Source organism: Homo sapiens, chromosome 16, assembly GCF_000001405.40.
Source record: "Homo sapiens chromosome 16, GRCh38.p14 Primary Assembly".
Lineage (NCBI taxonomy): Eukaryota > Metazoa > Chordata > Mammalia > Primates > Hominidae > Homo > Homo sapiens.
The window spans coordinates 50,649,923-50,666,261 of NC_000016.10; the positions used below are offsets into that span (position 1 = coordinate 50,649,923).

Consider the following 16,339-nt stretch of genomic DNA (forward strand, 5'->3'; position numbering starts at 1 on the left):
ACTCTGTTAAAAAAAAAACAAAAAACAAAAAACCAGCCTGGTGCAGTGGCTCACACCTATAATCCCAGCACTTTGAAAGGCCGAGACGGGTGGATCACCTGAGGTCAGGAGTTCAAGACGAGCTTGGCCAACATGGTGAAACCCCGTCTCTACTAAAAATACAAAAAATTAGCTGGGCATGGTGGCAGGTGCCTGTAATCCCAGCTACTCGGGGGGCTGAGGCAGAAGAGTCTCTTGAACCTGGGAGGCGGAGGTTGCAGTGAGCTGAGATCACGCCATTGCATTCCAGCCTGGGCAACAAGAGCAAAACTCCGTCTCAAAACAAAACAAAAAACAAAAACAAAAACGCCAATCTGACCATGGCACTTCCTACTGCAAACCCATCTCATTGCCCTCAGGACAAGGGCTCAGCTCCCAGCCCAGCAGACCAGGCCCTCAGGAGCCACTAGCTCCCTGTCTCCTGTCTCCTCCATGACTTTCTGCCTTTCCCCTCTGACCCACTGCCCTGTGCTCCCTGACAACCCTTAAACAATGGAGGACTTTCCTTTCTCTTCCAGCCCAGAATATGCTGCTCCTTCTCCCTGCAGTGCTTGTCCTCACCTCTCACCTAGCTGCTCCTGGCCTGAGCCTGGGTTCCCCAAGGCCTGGCCTAAGACAGAGACTTGGGGGTAGGTTTTTGGTAGGGTGATGCTCAAGAGAGGAGTGATGGGGCAGGAGGACAAGAGGGCAGGTGACAAAGTGACATGAGGGTGCCTTGCTGAGGTCACCATTAGAGAAAGTGGCCCTCTAGGATGAGGACAGAGTGACCCTGGGGTGTCTGGCTGCAGGGCGAAAGGCTGGAGCATGTGTCCACTGGCCCCAGCCTGAGTCTTGGGGGTGTCTCTGGGGGTGTTGATGCCCCTTCACTTCCTGCAGGACTGGAGAAGGCCCCAGGGAATGGGCAGGAAGGCCAGGTACAGTTCTGCTGGGATGAGGTGAGTCTGTGCTTGCTAGACTGTCCTCAATAGCTGCAGCTGAAATGACAGGTGGCCGTGGGTCTCTAGTACAACTGCCCCCTTCCTTCTTCAAGACCCCGCTCCTCCAGGAAGCCCTCCCTGACCCCCAAGCCTTGGGTAGATGCCCCTCCTGGGCCTCCTGCAGAGGCCTCAGATCACAGCTGCCTGTCTGCTGTCCCCACTTAGCCATAAATTTCTATAAGGCATAAATGAGATGAGGTGATGGGCTTAAAATAAGGTAATGGAAACAAAGTTGGAGCCAAGGGGAGAGAACTATAAAGACGATCTGCATTTATAGAAGGCTGTAATAGGGTTTGAACAGTCCAGGGCTTGCCGACCCATGGAGCTGGGGTTGGGGTACAGCCACTTCCTTGCTCTGGGCCCTCTGAGGTGCGAGGTGCCATGGTGCCAGAATCCCACCAGGCAAAGCCACTCTCCAGCCTTCCAGGCAAAGCACTGCCCATTTCATCCTCACAGCAACCTTAGGAGGCAGCCTTTCTTTTTTTTTTTTTTTTTTTTTTTTGAGACGGAGTCTCGCTCTGTCGCCCAGGCCGGATTGCGGACTGCAGTGGGGCAATCTCGGCTCACTGCAAGCTCCGCTTCCCGGGTTCACGCCATTCTCCTGCCTCAGCCTCCCGAGTAGCTGGGACTACAGGCGCCCGCCACCGCGCCCGGCTAATTTTTTGTATTTTTAGTAGAGACGGGGTTTCACCTTGTTAGCCAGGATGGTCTCGATCTCCTGACCTCATGATCCACCCGCCTCGGCCTCCCAAAGTGCTGGGATTACAGGCGTGAGCCACCGCGCCCGGCCAGGAGGCAGCCTTTCTATCACGTCCATTTTATTCCAGAGGACGGTAAAGCTGGGAAGTTGTGTAAGTTGTCTAAGGCATTTGACCCAATTAGGTCCAAAGACTCTCTCACCTGCTCTCTCTCTTTCTCTCTCTCCACCCCTCTTCTCTGCACATCTCCTGATCACCCAAGAAGAAGGGGCTATGGTGGACATCATACCCACTCCTGTTCCATTGGCCAAAGGAAGTCATGTGGCCAAGCCCATGGTATCTGCTGCCATCCCATTGGTCAAAGCAAGTCACATGGCCCAGGCTCATCATATTAACTTCCATCCCATTGGCCAAAGCAAGTCACATGGCCAAGCTCATCCTATCTACTCCCATCCTATTGGCCAAACTAAGTCACGTGGCTAAGTTCATCATATCCACTCCCATCCCACTGGCCAAAGCAGGCCGCACCACCAAGCTCGTTGCATTCATTCCTCTCCCACTGGTGAAAGCAAGTTACATGGTTGAGCTCATGGCATTCACTCCCATCCCATTGGCCAAAGCAAGTCACATGGCCAAGCCCAAAAGCCATGGGGTAGGGGAGCACTCTTCATGCCAAGGGGAGAGAAGAAGATGAAAGTCCACTGAAAAACAGTGACCTCCATTATATATGCAAACTCAGGGTGAGGCCCTATCTTGGGCATTAGATGAGCTGAGTTGAAGGCTCAGCATGGCCAACAATTTGCTCTGCAGTCCTGAGGAAACCGTTTCCCCTCTGTGAGTCTCAGTTTGCCCGTGTCTGCAATGGGGTTAATTACATCATAAGACACCGGCTGTTGTGAGCAGCGAGATAATCCCCAAGGCTGCTGACAGTGAGAAGGAGGGCTGCCTAGGGTCCAAAGAGATGCAAGAGGCAGTGGCCAGTTTCCTGTCCACATCATCCCCCCAACACATACTGGTTCAGATTCAGTTCCATCTGAGCTGGGCTCCAGCTTGACCAGGTACCATGATGGCAGCTGCCGCCTCACTTCCAACACCATCTCCCGGACCACATGCCTGCTCACAAACCCTTTGGAATACTTCGGAGGCCCTCAGTGGCTTCACGTCTCATGGCCGAGGGTGGATTAGGCGGGGTGCCTAGATGCGGGGAGGACAGGCAGGCCTTCCCTTAAACAGTCAGCCAAGCATCACATGCCGCCTGTCAAAGGGGGGTTTCAGATGCGGGGATTATGAACACCAAGAGTACAATTTCCTGATAAAATAGAAGAGGCGATTAAGTTAATGAAGGCTCATTTTGCTGATTTGAAAACTATAATTAATAGACATTAATTGTATATTTAGAAGTTTAGTGTGGCGTGGGCTCAGGAGCCGTTGTCAAACACAATGACGTTGTAAGTACTGCATAATAGACCGAGCCCAGATGTTCCCCGAAGCCCCTCACGAGAGCTTTGCAAGGGGCTTCTCTAATGATAAAAGCTGCCTCTTGCTGTTCTGCTCTTCCTTTAATGACATCCTTTCTGAGACGATGCTTATCACTCGTGCTTTCATCTTTGGTTAAATAGCATATGGCCTCAGCTGATTAAAAACCCCTCCTGGTTTTAATCAGCAACTCGGGATCAGGTTTCTAATGGTGGCCGTGGTGGCCTTACCAGTCCCATGGTAAGGTTTTTGACCACATCTACATGTGGAGAAAGGGTGGTGGGAGTGAGGGGCTTGGAGCTGGCCCTGTCTGGGTCCTGGGTTGAAGGACAGCTGCTGTGGCCCTCCTGGAATGACCTGAGCCAGGGCCAGTTCCAGGGATGCCTTGGGGATCAGGCTGGGCTAGTTCAGGCAGTCTTCAGGGGACCAAGTTGGCTCAAGGCCAGGCCCGGCTCACCTTGGCTGTGGCTGGAAAGTTGGACTCTCAGATCCCCTCCTTCTTAGCAAAAGCTTCAATGTTTGAGGCAAACTCTGCAGGGTCCACCCAGCTAAGGAGGAAGAGGAAGGGCCACAGAAGAGACTCGAGCGATGGAATCAGATGATGGAGCTTGAATCCTGGTCCCACTGCCTGGTGGCTGTTTAGGCTGCACCAATTGGAGACTTGCTTTCTCATGATCATCAGATGACCTCTGTTAAGTCTCTTTTTATCCCCATTGTACAGATGAGAAAACTGAGGCTCATTCCAGGGTTGAGAGCTGACTAAGCTTGGTCTGTGAGTCAGGAAGGATGGTGATGCTCACAAAAAAGGGACACAGAAATGGGGGCCAGGAACTTTGAGGAGGGACTGTTCAATCCCCTCCCTTCTCCGATATGAGCCCCTTAAGGAATGGGATGGGACCATGTCTGTCCTGGTCATTATGGGAGAGCCAGTGCTGAGCACAGTGCCAGGTCTATGTCAGGTCAGTCCCCAACAGGTGTTTTGAGAGGTAGTGATCCCATGGGAGGTAGCAGAGTGGACCGCAGCTGGTGGCATCCAGCAGGCAGGTGACAGATTTCTATTGATCGCTGGCTCTGCACACACTCCCCCTGCGCTCTAGCTCCTCCTGCCTGCATGGGATCATAAGGCTCATTCTGGCCTATGGCTGGGAGTGGAAGTGCCTGGATGAAAGTATTTAAGAGCCAGTTCGTGTCTCTTTAGTTCTCTCTGCCCCTAAAGCCTCATGTTGACATGGCACAGCTGCAAGAGAGGAGGAGCCTGGTTTGCTGAGCTGTGGCATGGAAGAAAAGCGTCTTGGTTACAGAAATCAGCTGGGTGTCAGTCCCAACTATTCAGGAGGCTGAGACGGGAGGATCACTTGAGTCCAGGAGGTCGAGGCTGCAGTGAGCCGTGATTGTGCCACTGCTCTCAGGCTGGCAACAGAGTGAGACCCTGTCTCAAAAAGAAAAGAAAAGAAATTATCCTGGAGAGTCGCCTGCATTGCCCTGGACTTTGTGAGCATGAGAAGTACCCTGTGATATGTGAAGCCATGGAGAGTTAAGGTTATTGTCTGTATGCAGACTTACATTCCTGCCACAGAACCCAGCCCATTCTGACTACAAGGCAGAGTTTCTGAACTGGAGTTAGAGAGGGAGGGAGGGCTGGATTCAGGGATCTGGCTGGTGTGATCCTAGTTTGACAGGCTCAGGGTCATCTGGTCAACCCCTGCCTGGCACCCACAGCCCCTGGGCCATCCCCTCCTCTCTGTGTGCCAGACAAGGTAGGCTGTCGTATGGGGTCTCCTTGGTGGAGGAGGGTCCTCAGGAGGAGGCCCAGGAGAATGGGCCTGGAGGGACTTGGAGGTGGTGGCCCTTCCTTGCTTTGCCACCTTGCTTGATACAGGCCTGTGGGGAGAAGTGCGGGGGTCCTTATCCAAGCCCAGCCTCTGTAGCTGTGAAGGGTCCCCTAGACACTTGTGAACAGTATATTCTGGGCCCCCCACATCTGTTCTCAATACTAAATAATTTGTTTTCTTCTCTGAGCATATTTAATTCATTTAATGTCTGAGGCAGTGGCGCTCAAGCAGCAGTTAACATTGGAGTCACCCAGAGGCCTTGTTAAAACCCACCTTTCTGGCCCCACACCCAGAGCTGCTAATTCAGTGGGTCTGAGGCAGGGCCTGAGAATGTGCATCTCCAACAAATTCCCAGATGATGCTGATGCTGCTGATCTAAGGACCATATTTGGAGAACCATTGGTCTGAGGCTTCTATGCCCCCAGTTCTTGGAAAACCAGCCCCTCTCCCAGAGCACCTTGCCCTGGCATTGGTGCCCCACCCTGCTCATTCTGATCCTCACTGCATCCCCACGCTGCCAGCCTTTCCTCAACCCCAACTGCTACCAGGGCCTGTAACCCACTGGGATAACTGTGAGGGGGTGGGGGTGGTCCAGGGCAGCCTGATCTCCCTGTGTCAGGCCTTCCTGACTTTCAGGACTGCTGTCTTTGTCCCAGACACACAGCCCCACAGAGACTTGAAGGCAGCTACATAATCATGACTCTTTTGGTTGCAAGTAACAGAATCCAAATTCAATGTGGTTTATGCCTAAAAGAGAATTGATTGGCTCTGGAAAGATCCAAGAGCTAGCTCTAGGGCCTTCAGGCATGGCTGGATCCAGAAGCATAATCAGTGTTGTCAGTCTCCCTCTCTCCTAGCTGAAAAGTGAAGGAGGAAGCACTGAGTGGGTGCCAGGATAAGGAGGTGAGAGTAGGCATGCCAAAGTTCCTTGTCCCTGCTGGCTCAGTTCCCGAACCTGTATAGTGGGACTGTCAGGTTCAAGGAGAGGGACATTGGTTGCAGGACTCACAGGGTTGCAAGGACTTTTGATCATTTTTTCAGGCTGTCTGCTGGGTGGGAAGACACCCAGGCTGAGATCACAGCAAAGGCGTGACCTACGACAGGAATTCTTTCTGTGGTATCCCATTTGAATGGGCCTGATAAGGTTTGGATGTGTGTCCCATCCAAATCTCATGCTGAAATATGATCCCCAGTGTCGGCGGTGGGACCTGGTGGGAGGCATTTGGGTCCTGGAGGCAGATCCCTGATGAATGGCTTGGTGCCTTCCCATGGTAATGAATAGGTTCTCTGTAGGTTCATAGGAGAGCTGGTTGTTTAGAAGAGCCTGGCATCTCTCTCTGTCTCTATCTTGCCCTCTCTCTCACCATGGGATGCCCGCTCCCCTTCACCTTCCACTGCAAGTGAAAGCTTCCTGAGGTCCTCACTAGAAGCAGAGGCCAGGACTATGCTTCCTGAACAGCCTGCAGAACGCTGAGCCAAATACATCTTTTTTCTTTATGAATTACCCAGCCTCAGGTATTCCCTTATAGTGATGCAAAATGGACCAACACAGGGCCTCAGTTTCCCAGTCTGTACTTGCGGCCTCTAATAGAGACTCTTCCAGTGTTGGCCTGTGATGAGGCTGGAAGGGGCTGAAATTGTGCCTAGAAATGTGGCTAGAGGTAGAAAAAACTGTATTTGCCAAGTCCTTAGGGATTGTTGCAGGGGGTGAGGTGCCTGAAGATACATGTTCAAGTGATAAAAGATCATCAGAAATGACTGTCTTTTGTCACAAATGAAAAGAAGTAACAGGTTAATCAAAAAAGACAGTTCAGGCCCGGCACCGTGGCTCATATCTGTAATCTCAGCACTTTGGGAAGCCGAAACAAACAGATTGCCTGAACTCAGGAGTTTGAGACCAGCCTGGGCAACATGGTGAAACCCCGTCTCTACAAAAAATACAAAAATTTGCCAGGCGTGGTGACTACTGCGGAGGCTGAGGCAGGGGAATTGCTGGAACCCGGGAGGCAGAGGTTGCTGTGAGCCAAGATTGCGCCATTGCACTCCAGCCCGGGTGACAACAGTGAGACTCCGTCTCAAAAAAAAAAAAAAAAAAAAAAAAGCCAGGTGTGGGGGCACATGCCTGTAGTCCCAGCTACCAGCTACTTGGAGGCTGAAGTAGGAGGATCATTTGAGCCGGGATGCAGAGGTTGCAGTGAGCTGAGATGGTGCTACTGCACTCCAGCCTGGGTGGCAGATTGAGACCCTGTCTCAAAAAAAAAAAAGAGAGTTTACATAGTCAGATGCAGCTTGATCTAGGAGTTTGAGATCATCAGGACAGGACTCAGCATCTGTCCATTTCCCACCCTATCTTTTGGCTCCATTTCCGAAGTTCCTCTTGGCCAAACTCCCTGCAGCTCCAGGCTCACAGCCCTACCCCAAGCCCAGCAGGAAGGGGCGTCTTCTCCCTCTCTGAGCAGTCAATCTCAAAAAGCCCAAGATTGCTCCTGTTTGGTTCTGATTAGGTCACATGCCCAGTTTGAAGTCCATCGCTGTGGCCAGGTCTGAGTCATACACACAGCCCCAGCTCTGGGGATGGAGTCAGTGCCTCCTGAAGGGTGGGTACCCTAAAGCAAAATTAGGAAGCTCTGCCCGGGAGAAGGGGAAATGCAGGCTGAGCAGCCCACCCAACTGATGTCAACTACTGGCGCCAAATTATCAGCCTGCCTGAGGACCCCTCCTCTGCCCTTGCCTGCAGCCTCCTCCCTTATCTCTGCACCCCCACTCTACTCAATGCTAAAAGCCACCCAGCCCAAGATGCCTTGCGATTCTCCTTCCTCCAGGCGAAGGAAAGGGGGCTGCAACCACATTCTCTCATTCGTTTCTCTGACATCTTTTGTCACCTATCAGGGGAACAAGTAATTCCTTTGATCATAGCAAAAGGAGGAAGAGTATTTAAAACACGGCCTGTGAAGATTTGCTAAGCAGAAATTGGGAAAGGCAGTCAGTGGCAGGTTTCAAAGCAGAAACATGATTTCTAGGCACCAGACTTGCTTGTCTGAGTATTGTTAAAAAGGATGTACTCCACACACTCACCTGCAGCCTGGGTTTTTAAATGGGCCAAGGGACCCCGAGGTGGGGAGAGGGTCCCCAAGGGACTTGATGGGAGGGGTTTCTGGGAGGAAAGCGGCAGCTCAGAATTCCATTCATTATGCATTGGAGCCCAGCACAGCTGAACGCTCAGAGGAAGGAGTGCTGGGCTGCGAGCTTGAGAATTGGTGTTGCCCCTGGCACTCTGTGTGACTCCAGACCCGTCCTTTCCCTCTCTGGGCCTCAGCATCCATTCCGGATCAGGGGCCGGATCAGAATTCAGAATCTACCTTCTTTCCCTCAGGCCTCCTTCACATTTTCTGCCATATCCACCATCACCTGACCCTGCTTTCCATTTAATATGGAACATTTCTGTCACCACCATAAATGAAAGAAATGGTATCAGCCCATAATAAGAAAAACCACCACAAAAATACATGCAGTGAAAAACAACGTGGCCATCGATTCTAGCTGGACAACTGTGGCCTGCCCTAAGCAGCAGGAGGGGGCTTCCCTCTTGTTAAAAATGGAGATATGGCCGAGTGCAGTGGCTCACGCCTGTCATCCCAGCACCTTGGGAGGCTGAGGTGGGTGGATCACTTGAGGTCAGGAGTTCGAGACCAGTCTGGCCAACATGGCAAAACCCCGTCTCTACTAAAATTACAAAAATTAGCCAGGCGTGGTGGTGCACGCCTATAATCCCAGCTACTCGGGAGGCTGAAGCAGGAGAATCACTTGAACCTGGGAGGTGGGGGTTGCAGTGAGCTGAGATCCTGCTACTGCACTCCAGCCTGGGTGACAGAGTGAGATCCTGTCTCAAAAAAAAAAAAAAAAAAAAAAAAGATTGAGAAGTGTCAGGGAAGGCCTAGTGAGTGCAGCCAGCATGTGGAGCAACAGGAGCAAAACACCCCACAGAAGTGGTCAGTGTTTCTGAGGATCAAGAGGGCAAACACAGACTGGGTGCGGTGACTCACAACCATAATCTCAGCAGTTTGGGAGGTGGAGGCCAGAGGATCGCTTGAGGCCAGGAGTTCAAGACCAACCTGGGCAACATGGCAAGACCTTGTCTCCACAACAAAATTTTTTAAATTTTTTAAAAAATTAACAAATTAGCCAAGCATGGTGGTGCACATCTGTGGTCCCAGCTCCTTGGGAGGCTGAGGTGGGAGGGTCACTTGAGCCAGGGAGATTGAGGCTACAGTGAGCTGTGATTGCACCACTACACTCCAGCCTGGGTGACAGAATGGGACTCTGTCTCAAAAAAAAAAAAAAAAAAAAAAAAAGATGGCAGACACAAGTGGGAGAGGTCATCTGGGCCAGATGAGGCCAGATATGGAGGCTGAGTGGAGAAGCTTGGACTTTATGCTAAGAATGAGGGGAATCCCGTGAAAGCTTTGAGCCAGGGAGTGAGATGATCCATTTATCATTTTGAAAGGGCTGTCTGACAGCTGTGTGGAGAGTGGATTGGAGGAGGCAAGGCAGGAAGGAAACGGTGAAGGAGATGTTAGATTTGGGGGCAGTGGCGCCTGGGCGGGGTGGAACTGGGGAGGGGGGGATGGGGTGAGTTGGGCCATATTGGAAGGTAGGACTGAAAAAACTGGGAGGTGGATTCAAGGCCTGGTGTTTGCTCCGCCACCCCCAGATGTGGGTCCAGGGGCCAATGGATAAGGAGTGAAACAGACCCATCCCGCCCTCTAATAGAGGAAAGGAAGTAGAAAGGGAGCTGTACTTTAAGAGTGGCCCAGACAGGGTGCTGTGGGGCCCTCTGGGAAAGGGTGAGAGCTTTGACACTGCAGATAAGGCTGGATCAACTACCATTTGGTTCAGTCCCTGAAACATCACTTATTTCAGAAAATCCGGGGATGTCAGGTGAGCATGCTCCTAGGACAACCCTTTCGTTTCTGTTGTGGGTTGAATTATGTTCCCTGTAAATATATGTTCAAACCCTAACCCTTGCTACATGTGATATGACCTTATTAGGAAATAGGGTCTTCGAAGATGTCACCAAGTTCAAATGAGGTCATACTGGCTTGGAGTGGGTCCTAATCCAGTGACTGGTATTTTTATTAGAAGGGAGGAATTTGCTAGGCGTGGAATTTGCTAGGCATGGTGGCTCATGCCTGTAATCCCAGCTACTCAGGGGGATCGCTTGAGCCAGGAGTTCAAGACTAGCTTTGGCAACATAGCCAGACACTTATCTCTAAAAAAAAAAAAAAAAAAAAATCAGAGGGCGATTCGGGCACAGAAGCACACAGAAGAGAGAAGGCCATGTGAAGACAGAGGCAGAGACAGGAGTGAAGCAGCTACAGAGCGAGGAACGCCAAGTTTTGCTGGAAGCTGCCAGAGGCCAGGTGAGAGGCGTGGAACAGATTCTTCCCTAAAACATCAGAGGGAGCATGGCCCCACCAACACCTAGATTTCAGACACCTAGTCTCCAGACCTTGCTTACACCTCTCAGTTTGTGTTTGTTACCACAGCCCCAGGAAACATACAATCTACAAGTAGAGAAATGGAGCCCCCAATAAGTGGAGGGACTGGCCCAAGTGCAGCCAGTGCTCCAGTTCATCTAAACCCTGTGGAATGAAATCAGGGAGGGATGTCCTCCTGAAGAAGAATAACCAGCTGCTATTTCCAGTAAGAGCCAGGCAGGAAAAACCCAGAGACACCTAATGCATGACTCGCGGTTCAGTGCTCCCTCCCGGGCGCCTCTGGCTCCTCCCCACCTGGGGAATGCTCTGGAGCATCTCATCACACCTGTAGACCAACCCCTGCAGCCTGCCCATAGCCCCGGAGTAAAGAGGCTGCAAAGACACAGGGGAAAATCTGTCTTGGCGAGGGCTGCTCTGCCGAAAGCCTGCTACACAAGGGCTGTGCAGTGAGGTGCAGGGAGAGGAGTCATGAGAGATGACCCCCAAGGAAAACAGCCAAGGGTCTCAGTGGACCCTCCTGCTAAACATGGTGATGCTGTATAGAAGTGGGGTCCTGAAATCTCATGACTGGATGATTTCATCCCAATGACTCCAAGACTTTTTTTTTTTGAGACAGGGTCTTGCTTTGTCACCCAGGCTGCAGTGCAGTGGCACAATCATAGCTCACTGCAGCCTCGAACTCCTGGGCTCAAGTGATCCTCCCACCTCAGCCTCCCAATTATCTGGGACTATAGGCATGCATCACCATGCCCAGCTAATTTTTTAATTTTTTGTAGAGATGGCATCTCACTATGTTGCCCAGGCTGGTCTTGAATTCCTGACCTCCAGGGATCCTCCCACCTCAGCTTCCCAAAGTGCTGGAAATTACAGACATGAGCCATGGTACCTGGCCTCCACATGCGTCATTTTGAAAAATTCATGTTTAAAAAAGAAATCAGGTTTACACCTTTCTTTTGGGGTGCATGCTTTTGTTTCTAAACACTTGGAATAGGAAAACAACCCTAGAGGCAAGAGGTAGGAGAGCTGAGTTCAAGTCTTTGCTCTTCTACTCATTCCTTCTGTGGCTCTGAGGCTCTTTTTCCATCAGCAAAACCATCCCAGTGGCTCCCAAATGGTGCTCCATCAAAGCCTAGGGGTGCCCTCGATAGGCCTAAGGCAGAGCTCCCTTGCTTCCCAGCTAGAAAAACTTGGCTTTGGCCTCTTTTACATGTTGAGTTTCTGTATCAAATTCCATTTGAAGAAAAGACTCTGTGGCTTAAAAAAAAGTCTGTACCTTGCACTGCAGCAGCTCTGTAATCCCTTCCAACCCAAATATCCCAAGATTCTCCATCAGAATGACAAATGTTCTTCCAACAGCCTTCGTCCTGTTTAGAGGTTGTCATTAAGTGTTCTTTCTGCTGACTGCTTCCTGGAGAGTGGCCTCATGTTTATCCACAGGAGCCTTCATCTTCTGGGGCATGATGCTGCTGAGCACGATCTTCATGCTGGGGCCCTGGGGGACCCTGGGAGAGAGGAGAAAGCAAGCATGGGGACGAGGTGGCGCTCTTTTGAGAGCCCAGAGGCTTGGCATCCCAAGGCTGGGGAAGAGGCTTCAAGGAGAGCAGGCTGGGATGGGTGGGCAGGGTGGCACAGTGGGTAAAGCACAGGCTCTGAAGTCAGATCCCAGCTCTGTCTCTTACAAGCCATGTGACTGTGGGCTAAGCTCTTGTTTTCAGTCCTTTCACCTTAAAATGGGGGCAGTAATAAGGCCTACCTCATAGGGCCACTGTAAGGGTTAAGTGGGCCAAGTTCATAAGGTACTAAGCCAGGGCCTGGCATGAGTGCCCTCCACATACAAGGCATGGGTAATTGGTGGCTATATTTATGTGGAGGCTGCTTGGAGTCTCAGAGCGAATCCAGGGAAGGCAGGAGCATTGGATGGACTGGTGCTGATCACTTCCTATCCCAGACAGGTCCTTTCAGGAACCCTGTGCCAACACATCCCCAGATCTCACTACTGTCTACAGACAATGTATCAGCTAGCTATTCCTACATAACAAACAGCCCCAAAACAACAATAACATCTGATTTGAGTTCACAAAACACATGGCTGAGAATTGGCTGATCTTGGCTGAGTTCACCCACATGTCGGAGTGGGCTGGCGTCAACGGATCTCAGCTGCCCTTGGCTCAGATCCATGTGTCACCTCATCCTGTGTCTCCAGCCGGATACCCTGGGCATTTTCTTCTCATGACAACAACAGAAGCTCAAGGGGGCAAGTGAAATGCACGAGGTCTCTTGAGGCCAAGGCTTGGAGCTGGCACACTGTCCCTTCTGCCACATGACATGGGCCGAAGCCAGTGTCCAGGACAGCCCGGACTCAAAGGGGAGGGAAATTAACCGTGCTTGTTTAGTGACAAGAACTGCAAATGTGTGTGGCAAATGGCATGGAGACGAGGGATGAAGACCCAGGCCATCCCTGCAATTCACCACACACTAGTATGTTAAGGAGGTGCCTGTGAGGAACTTTTGGCCCCCTAGCTGGTTGCTATTCCTGATTCTTTCCTTAGGGAATCTGGGGCTTTGGGGTCAGAACACTGTGCTCGCCTCAGGCTCAAACTCTAGCTCTGTCTGACTGCTATCATACTTGGTGCCTAATAAATATTGACTTTATATTTGCTGCCCCAATTTATTCTTTTATTAACATATTTATATTTTTAAATTTTAACATTTTGTTTTTGTTTTCTGTTGTTTTTTGGTTTGTTTTTTGTTTTTTTGAGACAGAATCTCACTCTGTTGCCCAGGCTGCAGGGCCTTGGCACGATCTCGACTCACTGCAACCTCTGCCTCCTGAGTTCAAGAAATTCTCCTGCTTCAGCCTCTCAGGTAGCTGGGATTACAGGCTCCCACCACTACACCCAGCTAATTTTTGTATTTTTAGTAGAGGCAGGGTTTCACCATGTTGGCCTGGCTGGTCTCAAACTCCTGACTTTAGGTGATCCGTCCGCCTCGGCCTCCCAAAGTGCTGGGATTACAGGCATGAGCCTCCGCACTCGGCCAATTTTAACATTTTTAAATTTTAATTTCTTTTTGTAGAGACAGGGTCTCACTATGTTGGCCAGGCTGGTCTCAAACTCCTGGCCTCAAGTGATCCTCTCACCTCAGCCACCCAAAGTGCCGGGATTACAGGTGTGAGTTGCTGCACCCAGCCTATTAAGATATTCTTATTGTGAAATAGAACACACGGAGAAAAGTGCATAAAAGTGTACAGCTTAACAAATTATTACTAAGCAAATACTTTTACAACCATCACCCTAGAGTAAGAACTGAGACTCCTCACTGTCCCCATCCCAGTCAAAACCTCCTCACCCCCTCGAAGTGATAACCACCATCTCAACTTTTATAGTAACCCTTTCTGCTTTTTTTAATTTCAGGAGTTGTGATGGTTAATTTTATGTCAGCTTAACCGGGCCATGGGATGCCCGGATGTCTGCTTAAACATTATTTCTGGGTATGTCTGCTAGGATAGATTAGCATTGGAGTTGATGCCCTGAGTGTGACAGACGGTCTTCCCCCATGTGAACGGGCATCTTCCAACTCACTGAAGGCCTGTTCGGAACAAAAAAGGCAGAGGACCGTTGGATTTGCCTCCTCTCTGATCGCCAAGCTGGAGCCTGGATCTCCTGCTCTTAGCATTCTTGGTTCCCAGGCCTGCAGACCTGGACTAGAGTCTACACTGTCAGCTCGCTGGCTCTCAGGCCTTCAAACTGCACCACCGGCCTTCCTGGGTCTCCAGCTTGCAGATGGCAGATGCTGGGACTTCTCAGCCGCCATAATTCTAGGAGCTCATCGCTTATACTAAATCTCATTATATGCAAATATATAGACATATACTATATGTCCATATCCATATCTATCTCTGCTCTTGGTTCTTTTTCTCCGGAGAACCCTAGTACAGGAGTTTTGCCATCTAAGCAAGCATGCTTCAGCCCTCTGGTTGAGTCCGACCTGCCCTTGGCCTTCAGGAAATGGAACCACACAGGCTGCATCCGTCTGTGTCTGGCTTCTTTCATGCAGTCTCTTGTGAGGTTCATCCACTTCCTTGTGTCCAAGCATAGCTTGTTTCATAACTGCCTCATGTTCCACATAAGAATACCCCAAGTCCCTTCTCTGTTTTATGGTTCGCAGACACTTGGGTTGTTTCCAGCTGGGGGACAGTATCAGGAGCTGTTCCTGCTGTGCAGTTGTGGTACATGTCTTTTGGTGAGCATGCTTGCCTATCTGTCTATAGGGTATATTCCTAAGGGCGGCATTGCTGGGTACTTACAGGACAGTTTACGTTCAGCTTTGAGGAATGGTGCCAAATGGTTTTCTTAAGTGGTTGTACCATTTATACTCTAACAAGCAGGGAACGTCATTTCTCTTTTCTTTTCCTCCCAGCCTCCTTCCATTTTCCTTTCTTATACTTATTTATCCAACCCACATTACTCACAGTCTCTATAGCCTTGTGTGTCTACTGGTGAATTAAAAGGTCACTAGTGGTGTCCTCTGGGAGTCCTCTTCTCACTCCCCCAGTTCAGTAGGCAGATGGGTGGGGAGTCCCCCACGCCATCTGGGTCCTGAAAAGGTGGGAGATGGGATCTGGGAGGAGCAGGTTATTCAATCTCTCCCCCTGGAAAGCGACGTGGCGCGGGCCTTACTGGGGAAGGGCCTCTCCCCCCAGACCGAGAGAGGCGCAGTTAGGCCCGTTCTCGGAAGCCATGGCCGATCCTGCTCCTGGGGGCGCTGATACTGGCTATTTGCAGCGCCCTCTCTTGTGAAACCCTGCGGATTCCGCTTGCGGGAAGTGGAGGGCGGTGGCCTCCGCCTTTTGGGGCTTCTGGGCTGAGGGAAGAGGATGGAGGGGCAGAAAGGGAGTGAGGTCCCAAACCCCAAGTGGAGGTCGCCCGGGGACCCCCCATCAAAACACTTGCTGGGGAGAGGTTATAGAGGCAGCAAAGCTCTTTCCAGCATGATTTCAAATCCCGTCTAAGGGCTTTCAGAAGCCTGGAGAAAGTTTCGGTTTCCCAGCTGTTTCAGCTTTTTCCGCCCGCACCGCGGCGATGCGTTCGGAGCCGCCGAGGCGGCAGCGCCATCTGCTGTCTACTTTTTAAATTGCAGGATCAGATCCTCTCGGTCTCTCCAGACCTGCCCCGTGGAAAGGGAATAAGATTAAACCAGTAAAAATAGCTTAGATCACCTGAGGTCAGGAATTCGAGACCAGCCTGGCCAACATGGCGAAACCCCGTCTCTACTAAAAAAAGTACAAAAATTAGCCGGGCGTGGTGGCGGGCGCCTGTAATCCCAGCTACTCAGGAGGCTGAGACAGGAGAATCGCTTGAACCCAGGAGGCGGAGTTTGCAGTGAGCCTATATCACGCCACTGCACTCCAGGCTGGGAGACAAGAACGAGACTCTGTCTCAAAAAGAAAAAAATAGTTTAAAGGCCAGGAGCGGTGGCTCATAGCTGTAATCCCATCACTTTGGGAGGCCGAGGTGAGTGGATCACAATGTCAGGAGTTCGAGACCAGCCTGGCCAACATGGTAAAACCCCTGTCTCTACTAAAAATACAAAAATTAGCCAGGCGTGGTGGCGGGCGCCTGTAATCTCAGCTGCTTGGGAGGCTGAGGCAGGAGAATCAGTTGAACCCAGGAGGCAGAAGTTGCAGTGAGCCAAGATCGTGCCACCGCACTCCAGCCTGGCCACAGAGCAAGACTCCATCTAAAAAAAAAAAAATTTAAAATGCCGACAGCCACTGTTATGCAAAGTTCAAGGGCCTCTCTCACACTTAGCTGGGGGAG

The 16,339-nt window shown here is 51.0% G+C and overlaps 3 annotated features.

Annotated features, from left to right (window-relative positions):
- Positions 4,452-4,632: a silencer, noted in NCBI's record as "fragment chr16:50688285-50688465 (GRCh37/hg19 assembly coordinates)". NCBI's record gives its function as "represses an EF-1alpha promoter that drives an FKBP-Casp9 reporter gene in an ReSE screen in HepG2 liver carcinoma cells {active_cell/tissue: HepG2}" and the evidence as "EXISTENCE:reporter gene assay evidence [ECO:0000049][PMID:32094911]".
- Positions 15,294-15,795: an enhancer, noted in NCBI's record as "H3K4me1 hESC enhancer chr16:50699127-50699628 (GRCh37/hg19 assembly coordinates)". NCBI's record gives its function as "activates a minimal SCP1, AML or CMV promoter by ChIP-STARR-seq in primed H9 embryonic stem cells {active_cell/tissue: H9 hESC(primed)}" and the evidence as "EXISTENCE:reporter gene assay evidence [ECO:0000049][PMID:30033119]".
- Positions 15,631-15,720: a silencer, noted in NCBI's record as "silent region_7488". NCBI's record gives its function as "represses an Ori minimal core promoter by ATAC-STARR-seq in GM12878 lymphoblastoid cells {active_cell/tissue: GM12878}" and the evidence as "EXISTENCE:reporter gene assay evidence [ECO:0000049][PMID:35858748]".